This window comes from Homo sapiens, chromosome 19 (assembly GCF_000001405.40).
Source record: "Homo sapiens chromosome 19, GRCh38.p14 Primary Assembly".
NCBI classification, from domain to species: Eukaryota; Metazoa; Chordata; class Mammalia; order Primates; family Hominidae; genus Homo; species Homo sapiens.
In genome coordinates this window covers 18,274,857-18,302,026 of record NC_000019.10, presented here as the reverse complement: position 1 = coordinate 18,302,026, position 27,170 = coordinate 18,274,857, and the positions used below count along the sequence as shown (strand labels likewise).

The following is a 27,170-nucleotide window of genomic DNA, read 5'->3' as shown; positions in this document are numbered from 1 at the left end:
CAGTATGCTCAGCCAACCATTGTTTATCTATCATGAATGTGTGCCAGGCAGCTCCGGAACTCACCCATAGGGTGGCATCGTCATTCACTGCTCAGGCACAGAGAGGGTGAGGAACCTGCCCCAGGTCACACAGCAATGGTGACCTCCTCTTTCCACTGCCTCCTTAAACCTGAAGGATCCATTGACCTTCTCCCAGCTCAGGCACAGTCAGGACCCCAAAATTGGTTGGGAATAGGGTGTGGGGGGTAAGCAAGATCGGCTGCTGCTTTAAAACTCACTCCCCTGATTGTAACATCAGCTGAGGGACAGGATTTGAGGCACATAGTTAGGTGCCTGGAGGGCTTAACCCTACCGTGCCTCAGTTTCCTCCCTGGTCGGGGGGATAACAGCAGCTCTACCTCATGGGGGTTATTGGGCAGATTGCATGAAGGGAGGATGCCAGTAATCATTTTAGGACTGGCCTGGTATACAGCAAGTGCTCAATAAATGCTTGAAATAATCTAAGATGGCATCTCGCCTAGCACCTGTGGGGTGTCCAGAACCTCACGGGGGACCCTCCATCTTTACAACTATGGGGTTGGCGTGAGCAGCTCATTGTCCCAGGGCACCCAGGCAGTGGCCCCTCTGGATTGGCCAGTGCCATGGGGAATAGAAAGGCCGCTGTCCTCTGTGCCCTGGAGGCTGGCTTAGGAAGCCTGGCCCCAGGCCAGTGACCGTTCACCTTGCAGGCCTGCGATCCTGCCCTTCGAGCCGCCTCCCAGCCTGGGCCTGGCCTCTGCGGCCACTGGGCAGTGAGTGACTCACCCCTGCCCCGCCTCCACTGGAACCAGGCACCGAAATAGTCACCCAGCTCGCTCTCGGGAGTGGCCGTGGAAATATTTCAGGGCTGCATTCAGCACCTAAAAATACTCCTCACGTCCTCAAGTGTCTTCCCCACCCTCATCTCCCCTCCTCTGCACCACCAGGGCCAGACCCTCCTTGCCCCACCCCTCCAGCATCAAGTAACTCAGACATCCTGGCCCCAGAGCCTTCTCAAAGGTCAGCTTCTTCTGAAACCCCCTGAAATCTCAGACCAGGTTGGGGAGGCCGGGGCTCAGTGACATTGTCTGGGGAGACCTTCACTGCCCAGCAGTTTTCCTTAAACATTAAAAAAATGGCTGGGGGTGGTGGCTCACACCTGTAATCCCAGCACTTTGGGAGGCTGAGGCGGGCGGATCACGAGGTCAGGAGTTCAAGACCAGCCTGGCTAACACGGTGAAACCCAGTCTCTACTAAAAATACAGAAATTAGGCGGGCATGGTGGTGAGCGCCAGTAATCCCATCTACTCGGGAGGCTGAGGCAGGAGAATTGCTTTAACCTGGGAGGTGGGGGTTGCAGTGAGCCGAGATCATGCCACTGCACTCCAGCCTGGGTGACAGAGCAAGACTGTCTTGGGAAAAAAAATTAAAAATTAAAAAAATGGGCCAGGTGCAGTGGCTTATGCCTGTAATCCCAGCACTTTGGGAGGCTGAGGTGGGTGGACCACCTGAAGTCAGGAGTTTGACACCAGCCTGGGAAACATGGTGAAACCCCGTCTCTACTAAAAAATATAAAAATTGGCCGGGCGTGGTGGCTCACACCTGTAATCCCAGCACTTTGGGAGGCCGAGGCGGGCGGATCATGAAGTCAAGAGATGGAGACCATCCTGGCTAACATGGTGAAACCCCGTCTCTACTAAAAATACAAAAATTAGCCAGGCCTGGTGGCACACACCTGTAGTCCCAGCTACTCGGGAGGCTGAGGCAGAAGAATTGCTTGAACCCGGGAGGCAGAGGTTGCAATGAGCCGAGGTCACACCACTGCACTCCAGCCTGGCAACAGAGTGAGACTCTGTCTCAAAAAAACCAAAACAAACAAACAAAAAAATTAACCGGGTGTGGTGGCAGGCACCTGTAATCCCAGCTACTCAGGAGGCTGAGGCACGAGAATTGCTTTAACCCGGGAGGCAGAGGTTGCAGTGAGCTGAGATCTCGCCACTGCACTCCAGCCTGGGTAAGAAGAGCAAAACTTCATCTCAAAAAAAAAAAAATTAATTAGATTTAAAAATGGTTCTTGGCCGGGCACAGTAGCTCAAGCCTGTAATCCCAATACTTTGGGACGCCAAGGCGGGCGGATGGCTGGAGCCCAGGATCCCAGTCTGGGCAACATAGTGAGACCCTACCTCTACAAAACAAATGAAATTAGCCAAGCACGGCGGTACACACCTGTAGTCCCAGCTGCTGAGGAGGCTGAAGGGGGAGGATCACTTGAGTAGGGAGGTTGAGGCTACAGTGAGCCATGATTGCGCCACTGCACTCCAGCCTGGGTGACAAAGCAAGACCCCCCCCCCACCAAAAAAAAAAAGTTCTTGCCGTTTGCATTGTTGAGGCAGCCAGAAGCAGGCCCTTTTGACAGAGCCCCCAGCTGGTCTGAATTCCACCTCCTCACCCTCCCACTGGCTTCGAGACCCCACTTAACTTATAGGGTCCTCTCCCTCCCAGGGTGGGAGAGGGGTGTGCACTGTGCCCTCCAAGATACCCTCACACCCTGCTGTCATCTCAGGCTGTCAGCCTCCCTGGTCATATTCAACGGCCTCTGTGGCCCCAAGGTGCGGTCAACTTTGTCCTAACCACCAAGCACCTTGACCTTTCTGGTGGCCTAAGGAAGGTGGGGATAACAGAGCACACAGAACTGTACCTCGGTTCCACCTGCTGGGGTGGAATCCAGCGTTTCTCGATCACCTGAGGCTTCCAATTAGAGAGAATGGCAGGTGTCAAGGCACTGAAGAAAGTGTGTGCTGGGTGTGTTGAAAAGGCAGTCAGCTGGCTGGCGAGCAAAGTGAGGGCGAGGGAGCAGGGCACAGTGGCTCACGCCTGTAATCTCAGCACTTTGAGAGGCCGAGGCAGGCGGATCACCTGAGGTCAGGAGTTCGAGTCCAGCCTGGCCACAACATGGCGAAACCCCGTCTCTACTAAAAATACAAAAATTAGCCGGGCGTGGCTGTGTATGCCTGTAGTCCAAGCTACTTGGGAGGCTGAGGCAGTAGAATCACTTGAACCCAGGAAGCAGAGGTTGCAGTCAGCCGAGATCATGGCACTGCACACTAGCCTGAGTGACAACGTGAAACTCCATCTCAAAAAAAAACAAAAAGCAAGGGTAAGGGTACCGGGCAAGGGCTGGCACACTGTAGATGTGAGGGCCTCCCTGGCCCTCTGTTTTCCCTTAGAGAGGATGAGTCAACCTAGAGACACCTTCAGAGAACCAACCTCCCTGAACCACTTAAGAAGCAGTTTTGTTTTGTTTGTAATGACTAAATTCCCTACTTTATTCAGATTTCCTTCGTTTTTACCTAATGTACTGTACTTAACAAAAAAAACTGAGGTGGTTGGGTGCGGTGGCTCACGCCTATAATCCCAGCACTTTGGGAGGCCGAGGCCGGCGGATCACCTGCAGTCAGGAGTTCGAGACCAGACCAGCCTGACCAACATGGAGAAACCCCGTCTCTATTAAAAATACAAAATTAGCCAGGTGTGGTGGCACATACCTGTAATCTCAGCTACTCAGGAGTCTGAGGAAGAAGAATTGCTTGAACCCAGGAGGCAGAGGTTGCAGTGAGCGGAGATCGCACGATTGCACTCCAGCCTGGGCAAAAAGAGTGAAACTCTGTCTCCAAAAAAAAAAAAAAAAAAAAATTGAGGTGCCTGGCATGGTGGTGGCTCACGCCTATAATCCCAGAACTTTGGGAGGCCAAGGCAGGAGGATCGCTTGAATCCAGGAAAGTGGATTCGAGAGCAGCCTAGGCAACATAGTGAAACCTCATCTCTACAAAAAATAAACAAAATTGGCCTGGCATGGTGGCGTGGCCCCTGTAAGTACCAGCTGCTCAGGAGGCTGAGGTGGGAGGATTGGTTGAGCCCTGGAGACCAGGCTGCAGTGAACCAAGATTGAACCACTGCACGGTTTGACCTCTGCCTGAACGACAGAGGAAGACCTTGTCTCTAAAAAATAAATTGAAGGCCAGGCGCGGTGGCTCATGGGAGCCATGACTTTGGGAGGCTGAGGTGGGCATATGGCTTGAGGCCAGGAGTTCAAGACCAGCCTGGTGAAACCACGTCTCTACTAAAATACAAAAATCAGCTGGTTGTGGTGGTGCACACCTGTAATCTCAGCTACTTGGGAGGCTGAGGCAGGAGAACTGCTTGATCCCAGGAGGCGGAGGTTGCAGTGAGCCAAGATCATGCCACTGCACTCCAGCCTGGGCAAGAGAGTGAAACCCTGTCTCAAAAAATTAAAATAAAGTAAGGCAGGAGTCACATAACATAAAATGAACCACTTTAAAGTGTATAATTCAGGGGCATTTAATACACACACACTGTTGTGCAACCATCGCCTCTAATTCTAGAACATGTTCATCCCTTCCAAAGGAGACCTGGTCCCCATCAGCAGTTACTCCCCATTCCCTTCCCCCAAGCCCCTGGCAACCAGGAAGCTGCTTCCTGTCTCTGTGGATTTGCCTGTCCTGGACATTTCATATCAATGGAATCTCACACTGTGTGGCCTTTCATGCCTGGCTTCTCTCACTCAGCATCGTGTTTTCGAGTTTTGTGCACGTGGTAGCACAGACTAGTGCTTCATGCCTTTTTTTTTGGAGATGGAGTCTTAAGTCTTATGCTGTCACCCATGCTGGAGTGCAATGGTGCGATCTCAGCTCACTGCAACCTCTGCCTCCCGGGTCAAGCGATTCTCCTGCCTCAGCCTTCTGAGTAGCTGGGACTACAGATGTGTGCCACCACACCCAGCTAATTTTTGTATTTTTAGTAGAGACGGGGTTTCACTATGTTGGCCAGGCTGGTCTTGAACTCCCGACCTCATGATCTGCCCGCCTCGGCCTCCCAAAGTGCTGGGATTACAGGCATGAGCCACTGTGCCCGGCCTGCTTCATGCCTTTTTGTGGCTGCATCATATTCCATTGTGTGGGTGGACCACATTTTGTTGATCCTTCATCAGCTGATGGACATTTGGGCTGTTTCCAAGGAAGGGAGTTTACTGAGTGTTTAATCTGCAGTGGGCACAGGTCTAAGGGCTTCCTCCCAACCCCTGCCCCAGTTATGAGGTCATCCTGCTAGCACCATGTCCATTTACCCATTTCGTAGTTGGAGATATGAAGGCACAAATAGGTCCCTGAAAGAACCACAGGTCAGCTCTTTGGCCTTTATACTCTGGGGATGGGGATAGAGGCAGACATTAAGGAAGGCAAGAATTAAATATGGTAAACCCAGAGCACTTTGGGAGGCCAAGGTGGGCAGATCACCTGAGGTCAGGAGTTCAAGACCAGCCTGGCCAACATGGTGAAACCCCGTTTCTACTAAAAATACAAAAATTAGCAGGGTGTGGTGCCGTGTGCCTGTAATCCCAGCTACTCGGGACGCTGAGGCAGGTGAATCGCTTGAACCCGGGAGATGGAGGGGGCAGTGAGCTGTGACTGCGTCACTGCACTCCATCCTGGGCAACAGAGTGAGACTCCATCTCAAAAAAAAAAAGAGAGAGAGAGAGAAAGAAAGAAAGAAAGCCAGCCAAGAATTAAATATGATCAATTCCAGGTGAGTGAGTCTCCCAGACAGTGGGAACAGCATGTGCAAAGACCCCGAGGTGGGAATACATAGCTGTACCCAAGGGAAAGCTGGCATGGAACAAGTGAGTGGGGAGAAGAAGAGGGGAATAGACGGCAGCTGCTGGGGGGCCTGGGGATATGGGGAAGGATCTAAGATGGACTCAGATGGGAAAACAGAGAGATTGAGAGATGCAGGAAGAGAGAGGGAGCAAGACTAGGAGAACAAGGAAGAGATAGGGCCTCAGCATCTCAAGGCCTGGCTCCAAGTAGCCAAGGAGGCCTTGTCCTCACCCAAGTCCCTGCACCCCAGACTGCTGATACCCTGCCTGCATCGACAGTGGCAACCACCATGTGCCCAGAAGGATGTCAGTACACGGTAAGTGCTCCAAAAATGTTGAGTGAATGGATGAACACAGGAATGGATGGATGGGTGGGTGTGTGGTAAGTGGATGGGTGGCTGGATGAATAGGTGGATTGGTGGATGGAAGGGTGGATGGTGGACGGATGGGTGGATGGTGGATAGGTGGATGGGTGGATGGATGGGTGGATGGATGGGTGGGTGGGTAGATAGGTGGATGGGTGGATGGTGGATGGATGGGTGGATGAGTGGATGGTGGATGGATGGATTGGTGGGTAGATAGGTGGATGGATGGATGGATGGTGGATGGGTAGATGGTAGATGGATGAGTGGATGGTGGATGGATGGTGGATGGGTAGATGGTAGATGGATGAGTGGATGGTGGATGGATGGTGGATGGGTAGATGGTAGGTGGATGGTGGATGGATGGTGGATGGGTAGATGGTGGATGGATGGGTGGATGGTGAATGGGTGGATGGTGGATACATGGGTGGGTGGGTAGATAGGTGGATGGGTGGATGGATGGGTGGATGGGTGGGTGAGTGGATGGTGGATGGATGGGTCAGTGGGTAGACAGGTGGATGGATGGCTGGTGGATGGTTAGGTGGTGGATGGGTGGACGGTGGACGGATGGTGGATGGGTGGATGGTGAATGGGTGGATGGTGGATGCATGGGTGGGTGGGTAGATGGATGGATGGTGGGTAGATGGATGGATGGTGGATGGGCAGATGGTGGATGGGTAGATGGTGCATGGATGGATGGCCGCTGGGTGGAGGAATGGATGGATGGATGAATGGGTAGATGGTGGATGGATGGGTGGATGATGGACTGATTGGTGGATGATGGATGGGGGATGAGTGGATGGTGGATGGGTGGATAGATGGACAGGTGGGTGGATGGATGGTAGATGGGCAGATGGTAGATGGATGGGTGGATGGTGGATGGATGGGGGATGAGTGGATGGTGGATGAGTGGATGGATGGGTGAGTAGGTAGATGGGCGGATGGCTGATAGAGGGAGGAAGACCTGACACTGAGGTCCGCTCCATGAGAAGCAGCGTCTCCCACCTTCCAGCAGATGACTGAGTGGTGTCTGGTGGAGGAACTTGTCCAGTCCTTCCCGAGGTCTCACCCACCCCTCTGCAGCCTCAGAAGACACCCCCAGGGTGGAGGCTGGAAAGTTGGGGCTGGACAGGGTGCTATGAGCGTAGGCCAAGCAGAGGCGTGCCGGCCGGGTACCAGATGCTGCTACCTGCCTCTGCCGCTGAGTCAGCATCACCATGGCAACTGGCCCTGCCGGATGCTTCTCTGGGCACATCCCCGTCACTGCAGCCACCACCGTCACAGCCGCCTCCTCACAGGGGGCAGGGGGAGCAGCTATTTTTACACAGTTTGTGTGCAGCACTCAGGGGCCAGGGTGCTCACCTTCCCTACACCCCCTCCCCTGTTAGTGTCAGCCCCACCATCTCCTGAAGGGGGCTTGGGAGGATGTTGTCACCTGGGGTGGGCATTGTGAGAACAGATGAGGGACATGTACAAGGGCTGAGTGGCTGGACTGCAGGAGAGAAGAGAGCCAGGGGCGATGATGGGGAAGACTGGCCACAGCAGGGAGCCACAGAGGGTGTGGGGAGGCCAGAGGGGCACTGACGGAGGGCACAACAGGGGTCCCTGTGACCCTGGGCAACCTCCACATCCCCAAAGCCTCCCCTGCTGCTTCTGGAGCATGCATAATGGTAGGAAAAGTGAGGCAGGGAGAGCAGTCACAGGCTCCACCTGGGCTGGCCAAGGACTCAAGCCACCCCCCACCCTCCCTGCTTAGGATCTGGAGGCCCCTGTAATCCTCCATCTCTCCTCACCCTGCGCCACGCCTCCTCCTGGATGTTCCCTTAACACACCTCAAATTCAGCCCGGGTACAGTGGCTTACGCCTGTAATCCCAACACTTTAGGAGGCTGAGGCGGACGAATCACGAGATCAAGAGGTGGAGACCATCCTGGCCAATATGGTGAAACCCTGTCTACTAAAAATACAAAATTAGCTGGGCATCGTGGCGCACGCCTGTAATTCCAGCTACTCGGGAGGCTGAGGCAGAAGAATCGCGTGAACCTGGTAGGTGGAGGTTGCAGTGAGCTGAGATCGCACCACTGTACTCCAGCCTGGGGGACAGAGGGAGACTCCTCTCAAAAAACAAACAAACAAATACCTCAAATTCCTCCCCAGGGCCTTTGCACGTGCTACTCCAGCTTTCAGGAACACCCTTCCCTGGGGCATCCTCATGGTGGCCCTGCTGCTGGTATCATGGATCCTCTGGCCCCCCCCACCCCACACTCCCTCCGCCTGCTGTCATTTGCTTTCTCACCACCTGACTTTATATCATTCACTTCTTTCAGTTGTTCCCGTCCCAAGAATGAGGGGCCACTGAGTCACCTCACAGCACATAGCCCACACTTCGCTTCGCTGGGCTCCTCTCTGATGTTTTCAGGGACAGGGCGGGGACTTGGGTTGACCGATGGCTCCAAAGGCAGGCATGACCTTCCTTTCAGGCCACAAGGCCCTATCAGAAGTCAGCAGTCAGTGCGTGAGCCAGGCCTGGAGGCTAACACCAGGGCCAGGAGTTATTCCACCACAGGTTCCTCCAGGAAGCCGCCTCCTACCGGGAGCCTGCCTGGGTGCCTCCAGGCCACACCCGGAGCTCCACCTCCCTTACCTGGTTGTCTCTCTGTCTCTGTCTTGCTCCTAGATTTTTTTCCAGCCTCCCTCTCCCGCTGTCTCTCCTTCCAACTCATTTTTTTTTCTCTTGGTTTATTTCCAAGCCACGATATTGCTTTTCTCTTCCGCTATCTCGAAGCTCTGGCCCTCCAATCAGGAGGCCCGATTTAGTACAGCCTCACCCAGAACGTTGGGGCCGTTCCTTTGGCCTCGATATACCCACTCAATAAATGGGCTTGTCCTAGAGCTTAAGGCCTGCCCCTGGGGGGGAGGAAATTCCGGTGGCGGACACCCTTCCCCATCCCCGGTTCAGGGCCCCGGCGGGGAAGGGGTTAACCACGCGCCGTCCCTTCCCCCCAGCTCTGCATTTAATTAGCAGTCCGGTGGGGCGGCCTCGCTGGGCGGGCGGGGGAAAGGGAGAGAGGGGGTGGAGAGGAGATCGGGGGAGACGGGAGGGAGAAGGGGATAAGGAAGAGGGGAGGGGAAGCTGAAGCAGGAAGGGGAGGGAGAGGAGGGGAGTGAGCGACGGGAGGAGAGGAGGGGGCTGGAGAACCAGCCCGGAATTCACAGACAGCCTCGCAGGTGTCCCCGCTCCAGCCTCTTTCTTGGGGTGCAGTCCCCTCCCACACCCCCTTTTCAAGGCCGAACCCAGCGCCCACACTAAATGTCAACTCTCCCCATTATCCGGTTGAGGAAACTGAGGCCATGCAGAGGTGGTGATGTGCCAAGTCGCAGCTCGGGGCAAACGTTTATTCGCAGGTATTTGCGCAATGGAAAACAAGCCCAAACCAGCTCCAGGTCGTCCGGCGACCTGGAGGAGCTGGGAGGGGGCGGTAGTGTGGGACGCGGGCTAGCGGGCTTAGCACCAGCCAGGCCACGGCCGTTCCCGTGCCTCAATTTCCCTCTCTGCACAGAGCCCAGTAAATTGCTTGCAGGGCCGACCGCCCCCGCCCCCATCCCCGCGGCCTCCAGCGCCGCGTGGGGTGGGGGCCGGGCGGCCGAAGCGTCCGCGTCTACGCGGCACCACTTCGCCCTGACGTTGGCGCTGACGCCACCCGCCAGCTCGCGGCGGGGTCCGGCAGCCCCGGGAAGTTAACTCTTCCACTGCCGCCGACAGCTCCGAGACCTCTCCCCCCGGATCCTTTCTCCCCCCCTCCCATTAGGGGAGGGGCCACACGCTGAGGACCCCGCAGCTAGGCGAGGCAGGAGGCCTCCACCAGCCTCCAGGCCTCTGCCCGCGCCGTTCCCTCCGCCTGGAATGCGCCTCCCGCCCCAACCCAACCCTGTGTTTACTGCGACTTCCCTCCCTTCGGCCTGGCCCTGACCCCTCCGGGGCAGGGCGTGTCCGTGTCTGGCTGCTAGTACCGGCCCGGGGTGGGGTCCTCTCTCCCCAACAACTCGCTGTTTCCAACTCAATGTCTTTCCCCCCATTTTTCATTCGAGAACCATCGAAGACCAGGAAACTTACGGACGTCACCTGGCCAGGGACTGAGCAGCGCCTGCCCAGCTCCTAGGGCTCCCCGCCCCCACCCCTGTACGCGGAGATGCCGTCTCCCGGCGGCGGAGAGGACCCCGCAGGCCCCGCCCTTCCCCAGGGGAAGTGAGAATAGGGTGCCCACCCCCGCATTCTCGCCACTTCCTCCCCGGGAGAGCGAGAGGCGAGGAGCAGGGGGGAGGCGGGAGGCGGGAGGAAGGGGATGCGGGGGCAGCGGGAGGCGGGAAGGCGTGGGGTCTCTCCACTATTGCCCCTGCTGTAGCGCTTAAGGGCCCCATGTGCACGGCCTTTGATACCACTCAGACAACTTTGGGGTCCCCCAAAGTTGCTCCTTCCTTGGGGTCCTTTCTGAATCAACGCGGACCCTGCCGGTGCCTCCCCATCCCCGCAGCCTGGGGCAGCGGCCTCTTCACCCCCTGCCGCCTGCCTTGCCTCCAGTTCCATCTACTCCCCATCTGGGGCCCAGATCCCTTCCGCTGGCTGGGGGCCAGGTCCAGCGCCCCGTCTGCACCAGTCCGGACCCCTAAGCTCGCTCCAGGAACCCCCAGTCTTGGTGCAGAAATGCAGCCCACGATGTGCAGGGCCAACTGGCTTCGAATCTGCCTTCCACATACTGAAGCCTTTCTTGGCTGACAGCCTCAGTTTGTCCATCCGAAAAAAGGGGACAAAGCATATCTAGATGGCTCACGCCTGTAATCCCAGCACTCTGGGAGGCCGAGGCGGACGGATTACTTGAGGTCAGGAGTTCCAGACCAGCCTGGCCAACATGGTGAAATCCCGTCTCTACAAAAATACAAAAATTAGCCGGGCGTGGTGGCGCACGCCTGTAATCCCAGCTACTCAGGAGGCTGAGGCAGGAGAATCACTTGAACCCAGGAGGTGGAGGCTGCAGTGAGCCGAGATAGTGCCATTGCACTCCAGCCTGGGCGACAGAGCAAGACTGTGTCTTAAAAAAAAAAAAAAAGAATACCTGGAGAATGGGTTTCCCATCTTGGCAGCATGAATACTTCCACTCATTCATTAATTCACTCATCCATTCATTATTCTACGAACTCATCCATTATGCTACTTATTGCATTCATTCCTTTACTCATTCACTCATTCATTGATTCACACACCACAGACAGCCAGGGAGGGCGGCGGGCCACAGGGGCCCACATCTCAGTGTGGACAGACGTCAGGGGCCCACAGGACCGTGGGTGGGGACAGCCCCAAGGCTGCAAATAAACGTTTGCCCAGAGCTGCATCCTGGCATGTCACCAAACCAAACCGAAGCCTCCCCAGAGAGGCCCCTGTGGGGTCCCCTGCCCAAGAGGCAGCTGCCTGCCACCTCCCCCACCCCTCCCCATTCAGGCACCACCCTGCCCTCAGTCTGTCAGCGGGGAAATGGCTCAGTACCTGGAAAAGCCACGAGTATGTGGTCGGATGCAGGCAAAACCCACACATCATGGTGGGGGGGGGCACCTACAATAATGGGTTGCATGTTAACAGATCAACACACATTCATCAAGCACCTACTGTGTGCTGGGACCCACGGGACTGGAGCATCTGCCAAGTGGGTCCCTGTGGCCCCTCCTGCCCTTCTGCTTGGGGCTTCCCTGCCTTTGATAAGACTCAGACATTCGAAGTCCAGCCCCAGCCCTGAGTGTTCCTGAGGTGGGAATGCCTGACTTTGCTCTCATTTCATAGTTTTTTGGTTTCCTTCTATTTATAGCAAGAGAAACTGGTTTTCCATTCTTGGTGGTGACATGAAGGTTCCCTTTTAAAATGTATTTACTGAAGTAAAAACAGAAAAGGGGGCCAACTTAAAGGAAAATCGTGAGACCAACCTACAGCATGCTTCTCTAAAATGACCTTGCTTCCAGTCCCCCAGAACATCACCTCTGGGCGGTGAGAACCCACCTGCCCAGCACACAGCGGGCACTCAATAGAGCATGGTCGTCGGGCGCAGTGGCTCATGCCTATAATCCCAGAACTTTTGGAGGTTGAGGCAGGCGGATCACTTGAGGTGAGGAGTTCAAGACCAGCCTGGTCAACATGGAGAAACCCCATCTCTACTAAAAATACAAAAATTAGTTGGTGTGGTGGCATGTGCCTGTAATCCCAGCTACTCTGGTGGCTGAGGCACTAGAATTGCTTGAACCTGGGAGGCAGAGATTGCAGTGAGCTGAGAACGTGCCACTGCACACCAGCCTCAGAGACAGAGTGACACTTTGTCTCCAAAAAAAAAAAAAAAAAAAAAAGCATGGTTGAATCGATGAATGATGGTATGTGAGTTTGGCCCAAAACAACCAAGAAACAAAAAACCAAACCAGCTTTTTTTTTTTTTGAGACAGGGTCTCGCTCTGTTGCCCAGGCTGGAGTGCAGTGGCACGATCTCAGCTCACTGCAATCTCTGCCTCCCAGGTTCAAGCGATTCTCCTGCCTCAGCCTCCTGAGTAGCTGGGATTACAGGCATGCGCCACCACACCCGGCTAATTTTTCTATTTTTAGTAGAGATGGGGTTTCACCATGTTGGCCAGGCTGGTCTCGATCTCCTCACCTTGTGATCCGCCCGCCTCAGCCTCCCAACCAGCTAATTTTTCTATCTTTTTGTAGAGATGGGTTCTTGCTATGTTGCCCAGGCTGCTCTTGAACTTCTGGGCTCAGGAGATCCTCCTGTCTCTGCCTCTCAAAGAGCTGGGATTATAAGCATGAGCCACCCTGCTCAGACTACAAACCAATTTATCTTTTTTTTTTTTTTTTTTTTTTTTTTGAGACAGAGTCTCACTCTGTCACCCAGGCTGGAGTTCAGTGGTGCGATCTTGGCTCACTGCAAGCTCCGCCTCCCGGGTTCACACCATTCTCCTGCCTCAGCCTCCCCAGTAGCTGGGACTACAGGTACCTGCCCACCACGCCTGGCTAATTTTTTTTTTGTATTTTTAGTAGAGACAGGTTTTCACCGTGTTAGCCAGGATGGTCTCGATCTCCTGACCTCATGATCCGCCCGCCTCAGACTCCCAAAGTGCTGGGATTGCAGGCATGAGTTACGGTGCCTGGCCTCTTTTTTTTTTTTTTTTTTTGGAGACGGGGGTATCGTCATGTTATGTTGGCCAGGTTGGTCTTGAATGCTTGGCCTCAAGCAGTCCTCCTGCCTCGGCCTCCCAAAGTGCTAGGATTGCAGGGGTGAGCCATTTTGCCTGGCCCAAACCAATTTCTGAAGTTGGTCTAAAGAAAGCAAATTCACTACCTTCTGATCCCCAAACCCTCTGGTTCTCCAGTATCTACCTGTGAAACGGCCTAACCCAGGCCTGGGCATACAGGAAGTGCACATTAAATGCATGCTGGATAAGTGCAGGGGTCCTGTCTGTCCTAGGGTGGGGTAGGAGGGTAAGTGGTATGGGAAGTTCTTTTCTCCTTGTGCTATAATAAGAGGCTTTGGAGACTGATTCTAGATGGTCAGTCAATCAACAAACACTTGACTGAACCATTCTTCTAGGCCTGCCCAGTTAGTAAAAATGGTCATAAAGCTGGCAGAGCCAGGTTCAATCTGGTTCCATCAATGCTGAAGGGGGGCTGTGCCTCAGTTTCCTCATCTGTAAAATGGTTTTATGAGGCAGGAGGGATCCGGTGCCAGTCCAGAGGGCAGGGCCTGGGTCCCCTCCGAGAGGCTGGGCAGACACCTGCGCTGGACTGGGGACAGACTGCGGTTCCTGCTCCTGGAGAGGGCGGAAGCCTGGCAGGAGGGGAACAGAGAGGCCTCAGCCTTCTCGGGTAACTTGATCCTCAGGAATGTGCGGGCCAGACAGCGCCCCCAGCCCGAGTCTGGCGCCCCACTCCCGACCGCCCTGCGGGGGTCCGGCAGTCGGGGCACTTTCCCTGCAAGTCCCGCCTCTGCGAGCCTAAGGGTCCTAAGCGCTGGATTAGGGTCCTCACAAGCCCCACCTCCCCGCTGTGGGGTCGTGAGTGCCTGGCTCCACCTCACCCCTTCGGCTGCCTGCTTAACTCGGTTTTCTTTGGGGCTTTCCGATTTATCAACGTGATTTTTGGTTTCTGGGTGTTCAAATAAAGACTAAAAATTAAACTGCAGCCTCAACTTACCCGGGCCCAAGCGATTCTCCCACCTCACCCTCCCAAGTAGCTGGGACCACAGGCGTGTACCACCATGCCCAGCGAACTTTTTTATTTTTGTAGAGAAGAGGTCTCACTAGATTGCTCAGGCTGGTCTCAAACTCCTGGGCTCAAGCGACCCTCCCTCCTTGGCCTCCCAAAGTGCTGGGATTACTGCCCTGAGCCACTGTGCCCGGCCTGCAGGTTGCTTTAAACAATAAATCTCTGCGCTGGGGAAGGACTACAGCCGCAGCGATTCAAACCCCGGCGGCTGCGGGGCGTCAGGTTCGGCTTCTGCTTGGAGGGCAGGGTTCTCTCTGGCCTGGCCTGTACGACTCTGGGCACGTCGCGCGCCCCCTCCAGACACTGCCCTGAGAAGTGGGATAACGTCCCTCACCACTCGTGGAGCTGCTGCTGAGATAAAGGTGAAAATGCAGAGTCCCGGACCAAGCCCTAGTGTTGCCCCAACCTCATCTGCAACTTTCATTGCCTTGGGGGTAAATCCCTCCTGAGCAGAGGTGGAGGCTTCGGCACTCCCCTTCTCTTCCTTTGGCACTCACTGGCTTCCCAATCCAGTCCCACCTGCCTCCCCACCTTCTAGAAATGTGTCCAACTGGTTCCTGCCCCGGGGCCTTTGAACTGGCTGTTCCTATTACCGGAACCCTCTGATCCCCCAATAATTGGCAATTAAGTCCAGCTTGTCTGTCACTTGGTGTTACATCCTGGGCCACCCCTCCCAGATTACCCAAACTCTAAAATATCAGCCCCCTCCACTACCATCTATGGCGGGGACACCATTGATTCTCCTGAAAACTGCGCCGGTCTGGCTCTCCCTTGGTGTGGGGACCTACAAAGGTGCAGATGTTGGTCTTGTTCATGTGTGCCCTTTCCCCTGGCTTACAGTAGGGGCTCAATCAGTGTATGTGGATTGAATGAATGAAAGTTCTCTCTAGTTCATTGTATGGGACTAGCTGATGGCGTTAGAGACACCCTCCGCCCCATATGTCCAAAGTGGCTTCAGATCTGCCCCGGAGGAACCCCCACTCTGGGAAAACAGAGCTGGACCAACAGCTGCTGTGGTGTCAGGGCTGGGATAAATGGAAGGACAGGAATGGGGTGTCCCAGAGGGCTCTCTGGCTGGGAGGAGGAAGGAGAGGGTAGGAAAGGGCATTGAGGTGGAGCAACAGAAAATGCGAAGAGAAAGAAAAAGGGAGGCCAGGCGCAGTGACTCAAGCCTGTAATCCCAGCACTTTGGGAGGCTGAGGCGGGCAGATCATGAGGTCAGGCTCAAGGCCAGCCTGACCAACATCGTGAAACCCCGTCTCTACTAAAAATACAAAAAATTAGCCGGGCGTGTTGGCACATGCCTGTAATCCCAGCTATTTAGGGAGGCTGAGGCAGGAGAATCGCTTGAACCCAGGAGGGGAAGGTTGCAGTGAGCCAAGATCAAGCCACTGCACTCCAGCCTGGGCGACAGAGCGAGACTCCATCTCAAAAAAAAGAAGAAAGGAGCCCTTGGGGGTGGCAAAGGCAGCTTCCCACACTTAGGGGCCAGGAGAGGCCTTCCCCATCCAGTCCTGAAGACCTCCCCTCCCCTTCTATGGAGGAGACAGAACAAGACACAGATAAGGGACAGACAGGTCTTAGCCAGATGGAGAGGATTGACGACGGTCCTAGGGGACATGGTCAGGAAGGGTTTCTTGGAGAAGGTGGTGGGTTTTGAAGGATGAGTAGGAGTTCGCCAAGAGTGTAAGGGTATTCCAAGCTGAGAGAACTCAAAACCAAAGAACTGCAGTTACATTTGGGCAAATAATACAATCATAGAAAGCATTTATTGACCCCTTACTATTTGTTTTTTCTTTCTTTTTTTTTTTTTTTTGAGTTGGAGTCTCACTCTGTTGCCCAGGCTGGAGTGCAGTGGCGCGATCTCGGCTCACTGCAACCTCCTCCTCCTGGGTTCAAGTGATTCTCCTGCCTCAGCCTCCCAAGTAGCTGGGACTAAAGGCGTGCGCCACCACACCGGGAGAATTTTTGTATTTTTAGTAGAGACAAGGTTTCACTATGTTGGCCAGGCTGGTCTCGAACGCCTGACCTCGTGATCCACCTGCCTCAGCCTCCCAAAGTGCTGAGATTACAGGCGTGCGCCACCACACCCAGCCTGACCCCTTACTATTTCTTCAAATCCAATAAAAATCGCAATGCTTTTCCTTTCTGCACCATCGTGGTGTGTTCTTGACTCCACTTCTCGCCATATCTTCCTACAAGACTTTCAGGATTAAGCGATTCCTGGACAAGAAACAAAAGCAAAATCGTCCCATTCCCCAGTGGATTTGGATGAAAACTGGAAATAAAATCAGGTACAACTCCAAAAGGACACTGGAGAAGAACCAAGCTGGGTCTATAAGGAATTGCACATGAGATGGCACACATATTTATGCTGTCTGAAGGTCACGATCACGTTAGCATATCAAACTGAAAGTGTCACCACTATCTGGAGAGTTCGACGTGTTTTCCTCTCTGAATCTGTTATGAACGTGTGGGTTGGCTGGGTTCAGTAATAAATATGTGAGGCCTTTCATTTCAAAAAAAAAAATCGCGATACTCCACAAAGTAGGTAGGTTTATTTGCTCAATTTTCATGAAGGAAAAGCTGAGGCTCAGAGAGGTTGACAGGCCTCTGTATCTCACCTGCCTGCCTGCAGGAAAGTGCTCCACTCAGCTCAGGCTGTCTCAGCCTACCATTCACCAGACCATCTCCCCAGCTGCCAAGGCTGAGGCCCAAGTTCAGGGCAGGGCCTCTGTAGGCCGCCCACTCACCTCCTGCCTCAGGGAGAGGCATGACCCCGTCTCCTCCACTCTGGCCCCACTGCACGGGACCCAGAGAGGGGTTCCCAGGGCAGGGCTGGCTACAGGTCTGCGGGCTGGATCTTGTCCCACTAGGGATCTCTTTGTCCAGGATAGAACCTGGGCTAGAGAGCACAGAGACCCATGGATCTGAGTATGTATCTGTGTGTACCTGCGTCTGTCTATACAACACGAATACAGACAGACACAGGTGCACACACAGACACACACTCCAATAGGCAGACAGACACCTTCCTAACCAATCTAGAGACAAAACAAACCCACACCTCCAGTTCCCTGCCCTGGCAATTTGAATCCCAGGCCTGCCAGGCCAGGTCTTTATTATTATTATTATTATTATTATTATTATTATTATTATTATTTTTAAGATGGAGTCTTGCCCTGTTGCCCAGGCTGGAGTGTAGTGGCATGATTTCAGCTCACTGCAACCTCCATCTCCTGGGTTCAAGTGATTCTCCTTTCTCCAGAGCAGCTGGGATTACCGGTGCGCTCCCCATGCCTGGCTAATTTTTGTATTTTTAGTAGAGACAGGGTTTTGCCATATTGGCCAGGCTGGTCTCGAACTCCTGACCTCAGATGACTTGCCCGCCTCAGCCTCCCAAAGTGCTTATTACAGGTGTGAGCCACCTCGCCCAGCCTATTTTTTTTTTCTTCTTTTTTTTTTTTGAGACAGTGTCTCACTCTGTAGCCCAGGCTGGAGTGCAATGGCGCAATCTCGGCTCACTGCAACCTCCACCTCCCGGGTTCAAGCGATTCTCCTGCCTCAGCCTCCCGACTAGCTGGGATTACAGGCACCTGCCACCACACCTGGCTAATTTTTTTTTCTTTTCTTTTTTCTTTTTTTTTTTTGAGACGGAGTCTCGCTCTGTTGCCCAGGCTGGAGTGTAGTGGTGTGATCTCGGCTCACTGCAAGCTCTGCCTCCCGGGTTCATGCCATTCTCCTGCCTCAGCCTCCCGAGTAGCTGGGGACTACAGGCGCCCGCCACCATGCCCGGCTAATTTTTTTTTTTATTTTTCAGTAGAGACAGGGTTTCACCGTGTTAACCAGGATGGTCTTGATCTCCTGACCTCGTGATCAGCCTGCCTTGGCCTCCTAAAGTGCTGGGATGACAGGCGTGAGCCTCTGCGCCCAGCCTAATTTTTATTTTCAATAGAGATGGGGTTTCACCATGATGGTCAGGCTGGTCTCAAACTCCTGACCTCAAATGCCTGCCTCAGACTTCCAAAGTGCTGGGATTACAGGCAGGAGTCACCGCGTGTGGCCGACAGGCCACCTCTCTTGGTGATGAGGACAGCCTCCCTTATGGCCTTCATGCCCCAGTTGGGGGCAGAGCCAGGTGAGTAAGGAGGATAGAAAAGGAGTAACGCATGCCCACTGGCCAGGCAGACAAACTGAGGCTAGAGACCACCCACACAAGCAACCTTTTGTTGCATTCACCTTTATTTTTTATTTTTTTTTGAGACTGGAGTCTCACTCTGTCTCCCAGGCTGGAGTGCAGTGGCACAATCTCAGCTCACTGCAACCTCTGCCTCCCGGGTTCAAGCGATTCTCATGTCTCAGCCTCCTGAGTAGCTGGGATTACAGGTGCACACCACCACACCCGGTTAATTTTCGTATTTTTTTTTTTTTTTGTATTTTTGTATTTCGGCCAGTCTGGTCTTGAACTGCTGACCTCAAGTGATCTGCCTGCCTCGGCCTCCCAAAGTGCTGGGATTACAGGCATGAGCCACCACACCCAGCCCCGCATTCACCTTTAATACTGAGCATCCATTCTATGCGAGGCCCTGTCAGCAGGCTCAGCATAGGCAATGTCCCTGACCTTCAGGGACTATGGTCCACTCCATCATTCTGGCAGATTCAGAGGCTACAATAAAGGAGTAAAGTCTGAGGGTGGGGCACTTCCTGAAGACACATCTTTGCACTGGGGGAAGGGAGTACCAAGCAGAGAGCATAGCACGTGCAAAGGCCCAGAGGTACGATTAGTCCTGCAACTGGGAGGCCAAGGATCAGAGAGAGTGAGGGGAAGGAGGTCAGGGAAAGGAGGGTGTGGGCTCCATTCAGACAGAGGTGGGGAGCTGGAGGGGTGCATGCAGAGGCTGTAGGTCAGATCCAGATGTCCTAAGGATCCCTTGTGAGTATTGGTGGGGTGGGTCCATCTCTCCTCCCTCACACCCCCTTCCCAGCCAGTCTTAATAGTGGCTCATTAAGCCCTAACAGCCATGATAGTGGTAACAAGCATGTAATAATTATACCCGGCATTCCTGCCTCATCAGCCCAGCCCCTGGAGTTGGGCACCCTCGCCCAGGACATCACAGCCCTGGCAGACCTGGGGTTAAAACGTGGGCGGCGGAAGGAAGGGGCTGCGCAGGGGCCTGGACTCCCAGGTTCTAGGGTTCTAAGGGTGGACAAGAGCTCAGGCCTAGTCACAGCCCGGGCCCTGCTGTGACTCCTAGCTAACTCTCGGGGGATGGTCACTCCACCTCTCTGAGCCCAGTTTCCCATCTGTAAAGGCAGGAAGTAGGACTCCTGGTTCTAGAACGCACTCAGTGAAAATGATCAGGATCCAAGCGCTTTCAGCAACTTCTGGCGACCCTCCTCTCCCCTCCCGTCTCTTCCTGAGCAATCACACGCGGGGTGGAGGGAGGGAGGGAAGGAAGGAGGGAGGGTGAGGAACGCAGACCTCCCCACACCCCCGGCGAGCCCCCGGACACAGCCCCACCAGGCCTCCAGCCCCGTATCCGCACAAAGCCTCTCCAGAAGGCGCGCTAGGGGAGGCCCTGGCGGCACAGCAGAGCAGGAGGCGCCAAGGAGTTATTTAGCCATGCGGGACCCCATCCCCCTCCAGTCCCCGGAGGCCGGCACCGCCCCCGCCCCCGCCCCCGCCCGGCCGGGGCCCCACGCGCGGACACGGGGCGGGGCCTCGGGGCGGGCGGGCGCCTGGTGGCCCGGGCCCATCACGCCACCCGGGACGTGCCTTGGCGGAGGCGGCGCCGGGGAGATCGGTCGTACACAGCGGTCCCGGGGCGGGGTGACCCGGCCCGGGCGCGCGGCCGCCCCCATGACGTCAACCCACAAGGCAGCGCGCTGTTGTGGCGTTTACCGCGCGTCGCCGGGGCAACGGCGGCCGGGCGGGCGTCGGCGGCTTGGCCCCGCCCCTCCATGCAAATGAGCGACGTCACCCGCACCCAATGGCGAACGGGGGCGGTGAGCTCATCGCGCCGAGCCGAGGCTATAAGAGGGCGCACAAGTGGCGCGGCGCAGGAGCCGCCGCCAGTGGAGGGCCGGGCGCTGCGGCCGCGGCCGGGGCGGGCGCAGGGCCGAGCGGACGGGGGGGCGCGGGCCCCCCGGGAGGCCGCGGCCACTCCCCCCCGGGCCGGCGCGGCGGGGGAGGCGGAGGATGGAAACACCCTTCTACGGCGATGAGGCGCTGAGCGGCCTGGGCGGCGGCGCCAGTGGCAGCGGCGGCAGCTTCGCGTCCCCGGGCCGCTTGTTCCCCGGGGCGCCCCCGACGGCCGCGGCCGGCAGCATGATGAAGAAGGACGCGCTGACGCTGAGCCTGAGTGAGCAGGTGGCGGCAGCGCTCAAGCCTGCGGCCGCGCCGCCTCCTACCCCCCTGCGCGCCGACGGCGCCCCCAGCGCGGCACCCCCCGACGGCCTGCTCGCCTCTCCCGACCTGGGGCTGCTGAAGCTGGCCTCCCCCGAGCTCGAGCGCCTCATCATCCAGTCCAACGGGCTGGTCACCACCACGCCGACGAGCTCACAGTTCCTCTACCCCAAGGTGGCGGCCAGCGAGGAGCAGGAGTTCGCCGAGGGCTTCGTCAAGGCCCTGGAGGATTTACACAAGCAGAACCAGCTCGGCGCGGGCGCGGCCGCTGCCGCCGCCGCCGCCGCCGCCGGGGGGCCCTCGGGCACGGCCACGGGCTCCGCGCCCCCCGGCGAGCTGGCCCCGGCGGCGGCCGCGCCCGAAGCGCCTGTCTACGCGAACCTGAGCAGCTACGCGGGCGGCGCCGGGGGCGCGGGGGGCGCCGCGACGGTCGCCTTCGCTGCCGAACCTGTGCCCTTCCCGCCGCCGCCACCCCCAGGCGCGTTGGGGCCGCCGCGCCTGGCTGCGCTCAAGGACGAGCCACAGACGGTGCCCGACGTGCCGAGCTTCGGCGAGAGCCCGCCGTTGTCGCCCATCGACATGGACACGCAGGAGCGCATCAAGGCGGAGCGCAAGCGGCTGCGCAACCGCATCGCCGCCTCCAAGTGCCGCAAGCGCAAGCTGGAGCGCATCTCGCGCCTGGAAGAGAAAGTGAAGACCCTCAAGAGTCAGAACACGGAGCTGGCGTCCACGGCGAGCCTGCTGCGCGAGCAGGTGGCGCAGCTCAAGCAGAAAGTCCTCAGCCACGTCAACAGCGGCTGCCAGCTGCTGCCCCAGCACCAGGTGCCCGCGTACTGAGTCCGCGCGCGGGGCGCATGCGCGGCCACCCTCCCCAAGGGGCGGGCTCGCGGGGGGGTGTCGTGGGCGCCCCGGACTTGGAGAGGGTGCGGCCCTGGGGACCCCCCCTCCCCGAGTGTGCCCAGGAACTCAGAGAGGGCGCGGCCCCCGGGGATTCCCCCCCCCCGAGGGTGCCCAGGACTCGACAAGCTGGACCCCCTGCTCCCGGGGGGGCGAGCGCATGACCCCCCCGCCCTCGCGCTGCCTCTTTCCCCCGCGCGGCCGCCCCGTGTTGCACAAACCCGCGCGTCTCGGCTGCCCCTTTGTACACCGCGCCGCGGAAGGGGGCTCCGAGGGGGCGCAGCCTCAAACCCTGCCTTTCCTTTACTTTTACTTTTTTTTTTTTTTCTTTGGAAGAGAGAAGAACAGAGTGTTCGATTCTGCCCTATTTATGTTTCTACTCGGGAACAAACGTTGGTTGTGTGTGTGTGTGTTTTCTTGTGTTGGTTTTTTAAAGAAATGGGAAGAAGAAAAAAAAATTCTCCGCCCCTTTCCTCGATCTCGCTCCCCCCTTCGGTTCTTTCGACCGGTCCCCCCTCCCTTTTTTGTTCTGTTTTGTTTTGTTTTGCTACGAGTCCACATTCCTGTTTGTAATCCTTGGTTCGCCCGGTTTTCTGTTTTCAGTAAAGTCTCGTTACGCCAGCTCGGCTCTCCGCCTCCTTCTTCCCCCGCCGGGGCCTGGCGGGCTGGGCGGGGCCTGGTTCGCTTCCCCCCTACACCCCCGCCTTTCTCTCCTCCCTCTGTCCCTAGCTCCTCCCCTTGTTGGAGGGAGCAGAGAGCGGGTGTCTGAGAGCGGCCCGCACATCTGGCGCGCAGCGAGCGCCCCCTAGACGCGCCTTGGCGCGGGGCCGGCTGATGTCCAGGTTGGGGAGGGGTCTTGGGGTCTTTGATCTGCGTTTGGAACTAGCTAATGCCCCCTTGCCTTTTGGGAAGGAGAGATTTCGAGGTGGAAAGGGCACAGCCCCAGCCCAAAGCAGGAAGGAAGAGACAGAAACTTAGTAAACTTTTTAACCTTTTGGTCCTTGGTTTGCCTGTCCGTATAAAATGGGGAGAACAGTCGAAAAACTTGCCCCATAAAGTTGTGACGATTAAGAGAGTTTATGTTTACAGAGCAGTGCTTGGCTTACAGTGTAAGCTTTTCTCTTTTGGTGGATCGGGGGATGCTGAGGCCCAGGACAAGCTGATGGACCCAGTACCAGGAGGAAGTTGGCACAGGTGGGATCTAACCCAAGAGGTCTGCCTCCAGGACTGGGATTTTCCAAGTATCTCCCTGAAGTTCGCTTCTCCTCCTCCTCCCAACATCCTACTCCCTACTTTGAGGAAATCTAAGGTTCAGAGAGGTTGAGCAACTGGCTTGACATCACACAGCCTTTTAAGGAGACTGTGCAGAGATAGTCTGACCTTGGACTCCCTCACTTTCAGAGCTTTGACCCGAGGCTTCCTGCTTCTCCTGCCTGCTCTGCCCTTTGCTGTTAAGACCCTGCGCTTTGGGCTTCCAACTCATTGGGGACCCTGAGGGATGTGAACATTAGTGGCCGAGGTCACACAGCAAGTAGGGCTGGTGGCCATGTGTACCTAGCCAGCCCTGTTAGGGAGGGCCACTGAATTGTACCCATTTTACAGATGAAGAAACTTGGAGAGAATGGCCACCGTCCCTTGGTCATGGAGAAAGGCCTTGCCACCAACAGCTATGTTGGGGTTCATTTGTTTGAGACAGAGTCTCGCTCTGTCACCCAGACTGGAGTGCAGTGGCGCCATCTAGGCTCACTGCAACCTCTGCCTCCCCGGGCTCAAGTGATTCTCCTGCCTCAGCCTCCAAGTAGCTCAGATTACAGGTGCCCACCATGCTCGGCTACTTTTTTGTATTTGTAGTAGAGACAGGGTTTCACCATGTTGGTCAAGCTGGTCTGGAACTCCTGACCTCAAGTGGTCCACCCGCCTCGGCCTCCCAAAGTGCTGGGATTACAGGCGTGAGCCCCCACGTCCGGCCAGGGTTTGGTTTTTAGCTGTCACGTTGCCTTGTGGGAGGTCATGCAGACGTTTCAGCAGGGCCTGAAGGAACCTGCTGAAGGGAACTGAGGCTGAGGTGGGAGAGCAGGGGTGTCTTGACACACAAGAGACCAAGAACCACATCTCGGGCAGAGTGTCACTGGTTGGGAGACCGGGACCCAGCTTAGGTTCCAGTTGGCATTTGTGAGATCTCAGGCGAGTCCTCCTCCCCCGATGGCCTCTACATCCTGTGCTGTGAGATGCGGGTGTTTGCATCCAGCATAACATCTCTCAGGTCAGAAGTCAGAACTGGGAGGTGCTCAGGGGACGGACAACAGTGACCGCACTCAATGATGGTACCTACTGTGGCCCCCAATTAGTAGAGAAGGGGAAGGGAGGTTTTGAGACTTGCCCAACACCCCTGTTTTTTTTTTTTTTTTTTTTTGAGACAGAGTCTCGCTCTGTCTCCCAGGCTGGAGTGCAGTGGCGCAGTCTCGGCTCACTGCAAGCTTCGCCTCCTGGGTTCATGCCATTCTCCTGCCTCAGCCTCCTGAGTAGCTGGGAATACAGGCGCCCGCCACCACGCCTGGCTAATTTTTTGTACTTTTAGTAGAGATGGGGTTTCACCGTGTTAGCCAGGATGGTCTTGATCCCCTGACCTCATGATCCGCCCGCCTCGGCCTCCCGAAGTGCTGGGATTACAGGCGTGAGCCACCGTGCCCGGCCAACACCCCTGTTAAATGGCAGAGCAGCGATTCAAACCCAGGTCTCTTGCTTGCCTGCCCCCAAGTGGTCTAAGGCGAAAGGACTCTGAGGAGCCCTGCAGAGAGGTGGAGGACGTACTTTGTTTTTCTTTTTTTTTTTTGAGACTGAGTCTTCCTCTTGTCGCCCAGGCTGGAGTGCAATGGCCTGATCTTGGCTTACCGCAACCTCCACCTCCCAGTTTCAATCGATTCTCTTGCCTCAGCCTCTTGATTAGCTGGGATTACAGGTGTCTGCCACCATGCCCAGCTAAATTTTTTTTTTTGAGACGGAGTCTCGTTCTGTCTCCCAGGCTGGAGTGCGGTGGCGCGATCTCAGCTCACTGCAAGCTCTGCCTCCCTGGTTCATGCCATTCTCCTGCCTCAGCCTCCTGAGTAGCTGGGACTGCAGGCGCCCGCCACTATGCCCGGCTAATTTTTTTGTGTTTTTAGTAGAGACGGGGTTTCACCGTGTTAGCCAGGATGGTCTCGATCTCCTGACCTCGTGATCTGCCCGCCTCAGCTTCCCAAAGTTTCTGGGATTACAGGCGTGAGCCACCCTGCCTGGCTAAATTTTTTTTTGTATTTTTAGTAGAGACAGGGTTTCACCATGTTGCCCAGGCTGGTCTCGAACTCCTGACCTCAGGTGATCCACCCACCTTGGCTTCCCAAAGTGCTGGGATTACAGGCGTGAGCCACTGGGCCCCACAAGTTTGTTTTTTTTTTTCTTTACAAGATGAGGTCTCGCTCTTGCCTTGGCCAGAGTGCAGTGGCAAGACCACAGCTCACTGCAGCCTTGACCTCCTAGGCTCAACTGATTGTCCTGCCTCACCTCAGCCTCCCAAGTAGCTGGGACCACAGGTGCACGCCACCATGCCCTACTAATTTTTATTTTTATTTTTTCTTTGAGACGGAGTCTTGCTCTGCCGCCCAGGCTGGAGTGCAGTGGCGCCATCTCGGCTCATTGCAAGCTCCGCCTCCCAGGTTCACGCCATTCTCCTGCCTCAGCCTCCTGAGTAGCTGGGACTACAGGCGCCTGCCACCATGCCTGGCTAATTTTTTTGTGTTTTTAATAGAGATGGGCTTTCACCGTGTTAGCCAGGTTGATCTCGATCACCTGACCTCATGATCCGCCAGCCTTGGCCTCCCAAAGTGCTGGGATTACAGGCGTGAGCCACCACGCCCAGCCGCCCTACTAATTTTTAAATAATTTTTTTGTAGAGATGGGATCTATGTTGCCCAGGCTGGTTTTGAACTCCTGTGTTCAAGTGATCCTCCAACCTCGGTCTCCCAAAATGCTGGGACTACAGGTATTGAGCCACTGTACTCGGCCTCTTTTTTTTTTTTTTTTTTTTTTTTTTTTTTGAGTCAGGGTCTCTCATTCAGGCTGGAGTGCAGTGGTGCAATCTTGGCTCACTGTAGCCTCCACCTCCTGGGTTCAAGTGACTCTCCTGCCTCAGCCACCAAAGTAGCTGGGATTACAGGCATTTGCCATCATGCCTGACTAATTTTTGTATTATTAGTAGAGACGAGGTTTTGCCATATTGGTCAGGCTGGTCTCAAACTCCTGGGCTCAATCGATCTGCCCGCCTTGGCCTCCCAAAGTGCTGGGATTATAGGCATGAACCATCGCGCCCAGCGTCCCCAGCATTTATTGACACCTAGTTGAGGCCAGCCCTCCAGTCTGATGGGGGAGTCAAGCAGGCATGAGCTGTGATGTGAAGGGCTTTTTCTAAATCACAGATCTGACTCCTTACTTGAAACCTTTTTGGAAAAAGTCCTGACTGCACCAGTCCCTGGGCTGGCCAGTGTCTCCTTTCAGGAGCCTCTCCACCCAAATTCCCAATATCCTGCCTTCCTGGCCTCAGGGTCTTTGCACGGCTGCAGCTGTAGTTCTGTGCCAGCTACTCTTCCCCCAGTCATGCAGCTGAGCGCCACCTCCCAGCCTCAGCTGCACAGTCCTCGGAAGCCTGTCCCTAGTAACCCTCAGGCTAGGCCAGCACCTTACTGGGCTCCTACGGTCTCCAATTGCCCTGAGAACTCCCAGTTTGTGTTTAGCTCGTTGACAGCACAGAAGGGACCTGTTCTGATGAAACATCCAAAGGATGAGCTGGGTGCAGTGGCTCATGCCTGTAATCCCAGCACTTTGGGAGGCCGCAGCAGGCGGATCACTTGTGGTCAGGAGTTTGAGACCAGCCTGGCCAACATGGTGAAATCCTATCTCTACTAAAACTACATAAATCAGCTGGGCGTCATAGCATGCACCTGTAGTCCCAGCTACTCAGGAGGCTGAGGCACGAGAATCGCTTGAACCCGGGGAGGTGGAGGTTGCAGTGAGCTGAGATCGTAGCACTGCACTCCAGCCTGGGCAACAGAGCGAGACTCAATCTCAAAAAACAGACAAAGGATATAAACCCCACCCAACTGCCATCTGCCATGTCCCTGATTTTGTCCAAAGTCACACCCACAGTATAGGGAAGGTTTTGGAGGGGGTGATCGCTGCAGAGGGAGGTCAGGCACCCCTGCTGGTTCTTGTCCCGGCAACCCCCAGCGGCTCCCCAAGGAAGCCAGGCAGAGGCTTCTGGGCCAGGCTGGCTTTGGCTGGAGCCAGCTGCACTGAGTCCAAGGTGCGTGTCAGCCTTGGCCCAGCCAGCGGTGACTCATGCTGGGCCCCAGCCCAGCCCCAGGAGGTGATCCAGGACAGCAGCCTGACTTCCCCTTATAGCGCTGCGGCTCAGGGTCAGTACCCACTTTTGCCGGGCCCAGTGGGGATCCCAAGAGATCAAGTCCGGCCCCACCCCAAGGAGCCCGCAGTC

At 55.9% G+C, this 27,170-nt stretch overlaps 1 protein-coding gene, 2 long non-coding RNA genes, 1 other non-coding gene and 1 pseudogene across 5 annotated transcripts, besides 27 other annotated features; 3 read left to right on the top strand and 2 right to left on the bottom strand.

Annotated features, from left to right (window-relative positions):
- Nucleotides 558-977: a transcriptional cis regulatory region, noted in NCBI's record as "candidate enhancer chr19.2873 targeted for multiplex CRISPR interference". NCBI's record gives its function as "positively regulates expression of the KCNN1 gene with high confidence and the ISYNA1 gene with lower confidence in K562 cells {active_cell/tissue: K562}" and the evidence as "EXISTENCE:mutant phenotype evidence [ECO:0000015][PMID:30612741]".
- Nucleotides 7,142-7,324: a silencer, noted in NCBI's record as "fragment chr19:18405513-18405695 (GRCh37/hg19 assembly coordinates)". NCBI's record gives its function as "represses an EF-1alpha promoter that drives an FKBP-Casp9 reporter gene in an ReSE screen in HepG2 liver carcinoma cells {active_cell/tissue: HepG2}" and the evidence as "EXISTENCE:reporter gene assay evidence [ECO:0000049][PMID:32094911]".
- Nucleotides 7,203-7,282: a silencer, noted in NCBI's record as "silent region_10388". NCBI's record gives its function as "represses an Ori minimal core promoter by ATAC-STARR-seq in GM12878 lymphoblastoid cells {active_cell/tissue: GM12878}" and the evidence as "EXISTENCE:reporter gene assay evidence [ECO:0000049][PMID:35858748]".
- Nucleotides 7,561-8,200: an enhancer, noted in NCBI's record as "H3K27ac-H3K4me1 hESC enhancer chr19:18404637-18405276 (GRCh37/hg19 assembly coordinates)". NCBI's record gives its function as "activates a minimal SCP1, AML or CMV promoter by ChIP-STARR-seq in primed H9 embryonic stem cells {active_cell/tissue: H9 hESC(primed)}" and the evidence as "EXISTENCE:reporter gene assay evidence [ECO:0000049][PMID:30033119]".
- Nucleotides 8,201-8,839: an enhancer, noted in NCBI's record as "H3K27ac-H3K4me1 hESC enhancer chr19:18403998-18404636 (GRCh37/hg19 assembly coordinates)". NCBI's record gives its function as "activates a minimal SCP1, AML or CMV promoter by ChIP-STARR-seq in primed H9 embryonic stem cells {active_cell/tissue: H9 hESC(primed)}" and the evidence as "EXISTENCE:reporter gene assay evidence [ECO:0000049][PMID:30033119]".
- Nucleotides 8,201-10,800: a biological region, named in NCBI's record as "CRISPRi-validated cis-regulatory element chr19.2872". NCBI's record gives its function as "regulatory_interactions: JUND".
- Nucleotides 8,245-10,800: a transcriptional cis regulatory region, noted in NCBI's record as "candidate enhancer chr19.2872 targeted for multiplex CRISPR interference". NCBI's record gives its function as "positively regulates JUND gene expression with high confidence in K562 cells {active_cell/tissue: K562}" and the evidence as "EXISTENCE:mutant phenotype evidence [ECO:0000015][PMID:30612741]".
- Nucleotides 8,409-8,611: a silencer, noted in NCBI's record as "fragment chr19:18404226-18404428 (GRCh37/hg19 assembly coordinates)". NCBI's record gives its function as "represses an EF-1alpha promoter that drives an FKBP-Casp9 reporter gene in an ReSE screen in HepG2 liver carcinoma cells {active_cell/tissue: HepG2}" and the evidence as "EXISTENCE:reporter gene assay evidence [ECO:0000049][PMID:32094911]".
- Nucleotides 8,756-8,835: an enhancer, noted in NCBI's record as "active region_14311". NCBI's record gives its function as "activates an Ori minimal core promoter by ATAC-STARR-seq in GM12878 lymphoblastoid cells {active_cell/tissue: GM12878}" and the evidence as "EXISTENCE:reporter gene assay evidence [ECO:0000049][PMID:35858748]".
- Nucleotides 8,840-9,479: an enhancer, noted in NCBI's record as "H3K27ac-H3K4me1 hESC enhancer chr19:18403358-18403997 (GRCh37/hg19 assembly coordinates)". NCBI's record gives its function as "activates a minimal SCP1, AML or CMV promoter by ChIP-STARR-seq in naive and primed H9 embryonic stem cells {active_cell/tissue: H9 hESC(naive and primed)}" and the evidence as "EXISTENCE:reporter gene assay evidence [ECO:0000049][PMID:30033119]".
- On the top strand, nucleotides 9,184-11,437 carry LOC124904653 (uncharacterized). The gene is made up of 2 exons (XR_007067155.1): nucleotides 9,184-9,455; nucleotides 10,140-11,437. It is a non-coding gene; the product is annotated as an uncharacterized LOC124904653 (long non-coding RNA).
- Nucleotides 9,480-10,118: an enhancer, noted in NCBI's record as "H3K27ac-H3K4me1 hESC enhancer chr19:18402719-18403357 (GRCh37/hg19 assembly coordinates)". NCBI's record gives its function as "activates a minimal SCP1, AML or CMV promoter by ChIP-STARR-seq in naive H9 embryonic stem cells {active_cell/tissue: H9 hESC(naive)}" and the evidence as "EXISTENCE:reporter gene assay evidence [ECO:0000049][PMID:30033119]".
- Nucleotides 9,566-9,735: a silencer, noted in NCBI's record as "silent region_10387". NCBI's record gives its function as "represses an Ori minimal core promoter by ATAC-STARR-seq in GM12878 lymphoblastoid cells {active_cell/tissue: GM12878}" and the evidence as "EXISTENCE:reporter gene assay evidence [ECO:0000049][PMID:35858748]".
- Nucleotides 10,186-10,615: a silencer, noted in NCBI's record as "silent region_10386". NCBI's record gives its function as "represses an Ori minimal core promoter by ATAC-STARR-seq in GM12878 lymphoblastoid cells {active_cell/tissue: GM12878}" and the evidence as "EXISTENCE:reporter gene assay evidence [ECO:0000049][PMID:35858748]".
- Nucleotides 11,296-11,345: a silencer, noted in NCBI's record as "silent region_10385". NCBI's record gives its function as "represses an Ori minimal core promoter by ATAC-STARR-seq in GM12878 lymphoblastoid cells {active_cell/tissue: GM12878}" and the evidence as "EXISTENCE:reporter gene assay evidence [ECO:0000049][PMID:35858748]".
- Nucleotides 11,380-11,748: a transcriptional cis regulatory region, noted in NCBI's record as "candidate enhancer chr19.2871 targeted for multiplex CRISPR interference". NCBI's record gives its function as "positively regulates JUND gene expression with high confidence in K562 cells {active_cell/tissue: K562}" and the evidence as "EXISTENCE:mutant phenotype evidence [ECO:0000015][PMID:30612741]".
- Nucleotides 11,380-12,037: a biological region, named in NCBI's record as "CRISPRi-validated cis-regulatory element chr19.2871". NCBI's record gives its function as "regulatory_interactions: JUND".
- Nucleotides 11,398-12,037: an enhancer, noted in NCBI's record as "H3K4me1 hESC enhancer chr19:18400800-18401439 (GRCh37/hg19 assembly coordinates)". NCBI's record gives its function as "activates a minimal SCP1, AML or CMV promoter by ChIP-STARR-seq in naive H9 embryonic stem cells {active_cell/tissue: H9 hESC(naive)}" and the evidence as "EXISTENCE:reporter gene assay evidence [ECO:0000049][PMID:30033119]".
- Nucleotides 13,492-14,335: an enhancer, noted in NCBI's record as "H3K27ac-H3K4me1 hESC enhancer chr19:18398502-18399345 (GRCh37/hg19 assembly coordinates)". NCBI's record gives its function as "activates a minimal SCP1, AML or CMV promoter by ChIP-STARR-seq in primed H9 embryonic stem cells {active_cell/tissue: H9 hESC(primed)}" and the evidence as "EXISTENCE:reporter gene assay evidence [ECO:0000049][PMID:30033119]".
- Nucleotides 16,094-19,935, bottom strand: LOC124904652 (uncharacterized). The gene is made up of 2 exons (XR_007067154.1): nucleotides 18,897-19,935; nucleotides 16,094-16,566 (listed from the first exon to the last, which is right to left on the bottom strand). It is a non-coding gene; the product is annotated as an uncharacterized LOC124904652 (long non-coding RNA).
- On the top strand, nucleotides 16,482-16,864 carry RPL39P38 (ribosomal protein L39 pseudogene 38; annotated as a pseudogene).
- On the bottom strand, nucleotides 19,866-19,950 carry MIR3188 (microRNA 3188). The gene has a single exon (NR_036155.1). It is a non-coding gene; the product is annotated as a microRNA 3188 (primary transcript).
- Nucleotides 19,927-20,926: a silencer, noted in NCBI's record as "silent region_10384". NCBI's record gives its function as "represses an Ori minimal core promoter by ATAC-STARR-seq in GM12878 lymphoblastoid cells {active_cell/tissue: GM12878}" and the evidence as "EXISTENCE:reporter gene assay evidence [ECO:0000049][PMID:35858748]".
- Nucleotides 19,927-21,271: a biological region, named in NCBI's record as "H3K27ac hESC enhancer GRCh37_chr19:18391566-18392417".
- On the top strand, nucleotides 20,405-22,333 carry JUND (JunD proto-oncogene, AP-1 transcription factor subunit). 2 transcript variants are annotated; one of them, NM_005354.6, is made up of 1 exon: nucleotides 20,405-22,333. In NM_005354.6, exon 1 carries the CDS (start codon nucleotides 20,543-20,545, stop codon nucleotides 21,584-21,586), a length of 1,044 nt encoding a protein of 347 aa, NP_005345.3. In that variant the 5' UTR covers nucleotides 20,405-20,542; the 3' UTR covers nucleotides 21,587-22,333. Both variants share the same exon structure in this region, with proteins under 2 accessions (NP_005345.3, NP_001273897.1).
- Nucleotides 20,420-21,271: an enhancer, noted in NCBI's record as "H3K27ac hESC enhancer chr19:18391566-18392417 (GRCh37/hg19 assembly coordinates)". NCBI's record gives its function as "activates a minimal SCP1, AML or CMV promoter by ChIP-STARR-seq in primed H9 embryonic stem cells {active_cell/tissue: H9 hESC(primed)}" and the evidence as "EXISTENCE:reporter gene assay evidence [ECO:0000049][PMID:30033119]".
- Nucleotides 21,507-21,816: a silencer, noted in NCBI's record as "silent region_10383". NCBI's record gives its function as "represses an Ori minimal core promoter by ATAC-STARR-seq in GM12878 lymphoblastoid cells {active_cell/tissue: GM12878}" and the evidence as "EXISTENCE:reporter gene assay evidence [ECO:0000049][PMID:35858748]".
- Nucleotides 22,247-22,446: a silencer, noted in NCBI's record as "silent region_10382". NCBI's record gives its function as "represses an Ori minimal core promoter by ATAC-STARR-seq in GM12878 lymphoblastoid cells {active_cell/tissue: GM12878}" and the evidence as "EXISTENCE:reporter gene assay evidence [ECO:0000049][PMID:35858748]".
- Nucleotides 22,497-22,706: an enhancer, noted in NCBI's record as "active region_14310". NCBI's record gives its function as "activates an Ori minimal core promoter by ATAC-STARR-seq in GM12878 lymphoblastoid cells {active_cell/tissue: GM12878}" and the evidence as "EXISTENCE:reporter gene assay evidence [ECO:0000049][PMID:35858748]".
- Nucleotides 23,047-23,126: an enhancer, noted in NCBI's record as "active region_14309". NCBI's record gives its function as "activates an Ori minimal core promoter by ATAC-STARR-seq in GM12878 lymphoblastoid cells {active_cell/tissue: GM12878}" and the evidence as "EXISTENCE:reporter gene assay evidence [ECO:0000049][PMID:35858748]".
- Nucleotides 26,854-27,148: an enhancer, noted in NCBI's record as "tiled region #4774; HepG2 Activating DNase unmatched - State 1:Tss, and K562 Activating DNase matched - State 5:Enh". NCBI's record gives its function as "activates a minimal TATA promoter and a strong SV40 promoter by Sharpr-MPRA in HepG2 cells, with weaker activity in K562 cells {active_cell/tissue: HepG2 | K562}" and the evidence as "EXISTENCE:reporter gene assay evidence [ECO:0000049][PMID:27701403]".
- Nucleotides 26,951-27,070: an enhancer, noted in NCBI's record as "active region_14308". NCBI's record gives its function as "activates an Ori minimal core promoter by ATAC-STARR-seq in GM12878 lymphoblastoid cells {active_cell/tissue: GM12878}" and the evidence as "EXISTENCE:reporter gene assay evidence [ECO:0000049][PMID:35858748]".

Coding starts and splice junctions, on each gene's coding strand:
- JUND (NM_005354.6), top strand. CDS start 20,543: ATGGAAACACCCTTCTACGGCGATGAGGCGCTGAGCGGCCTGGGCGGC.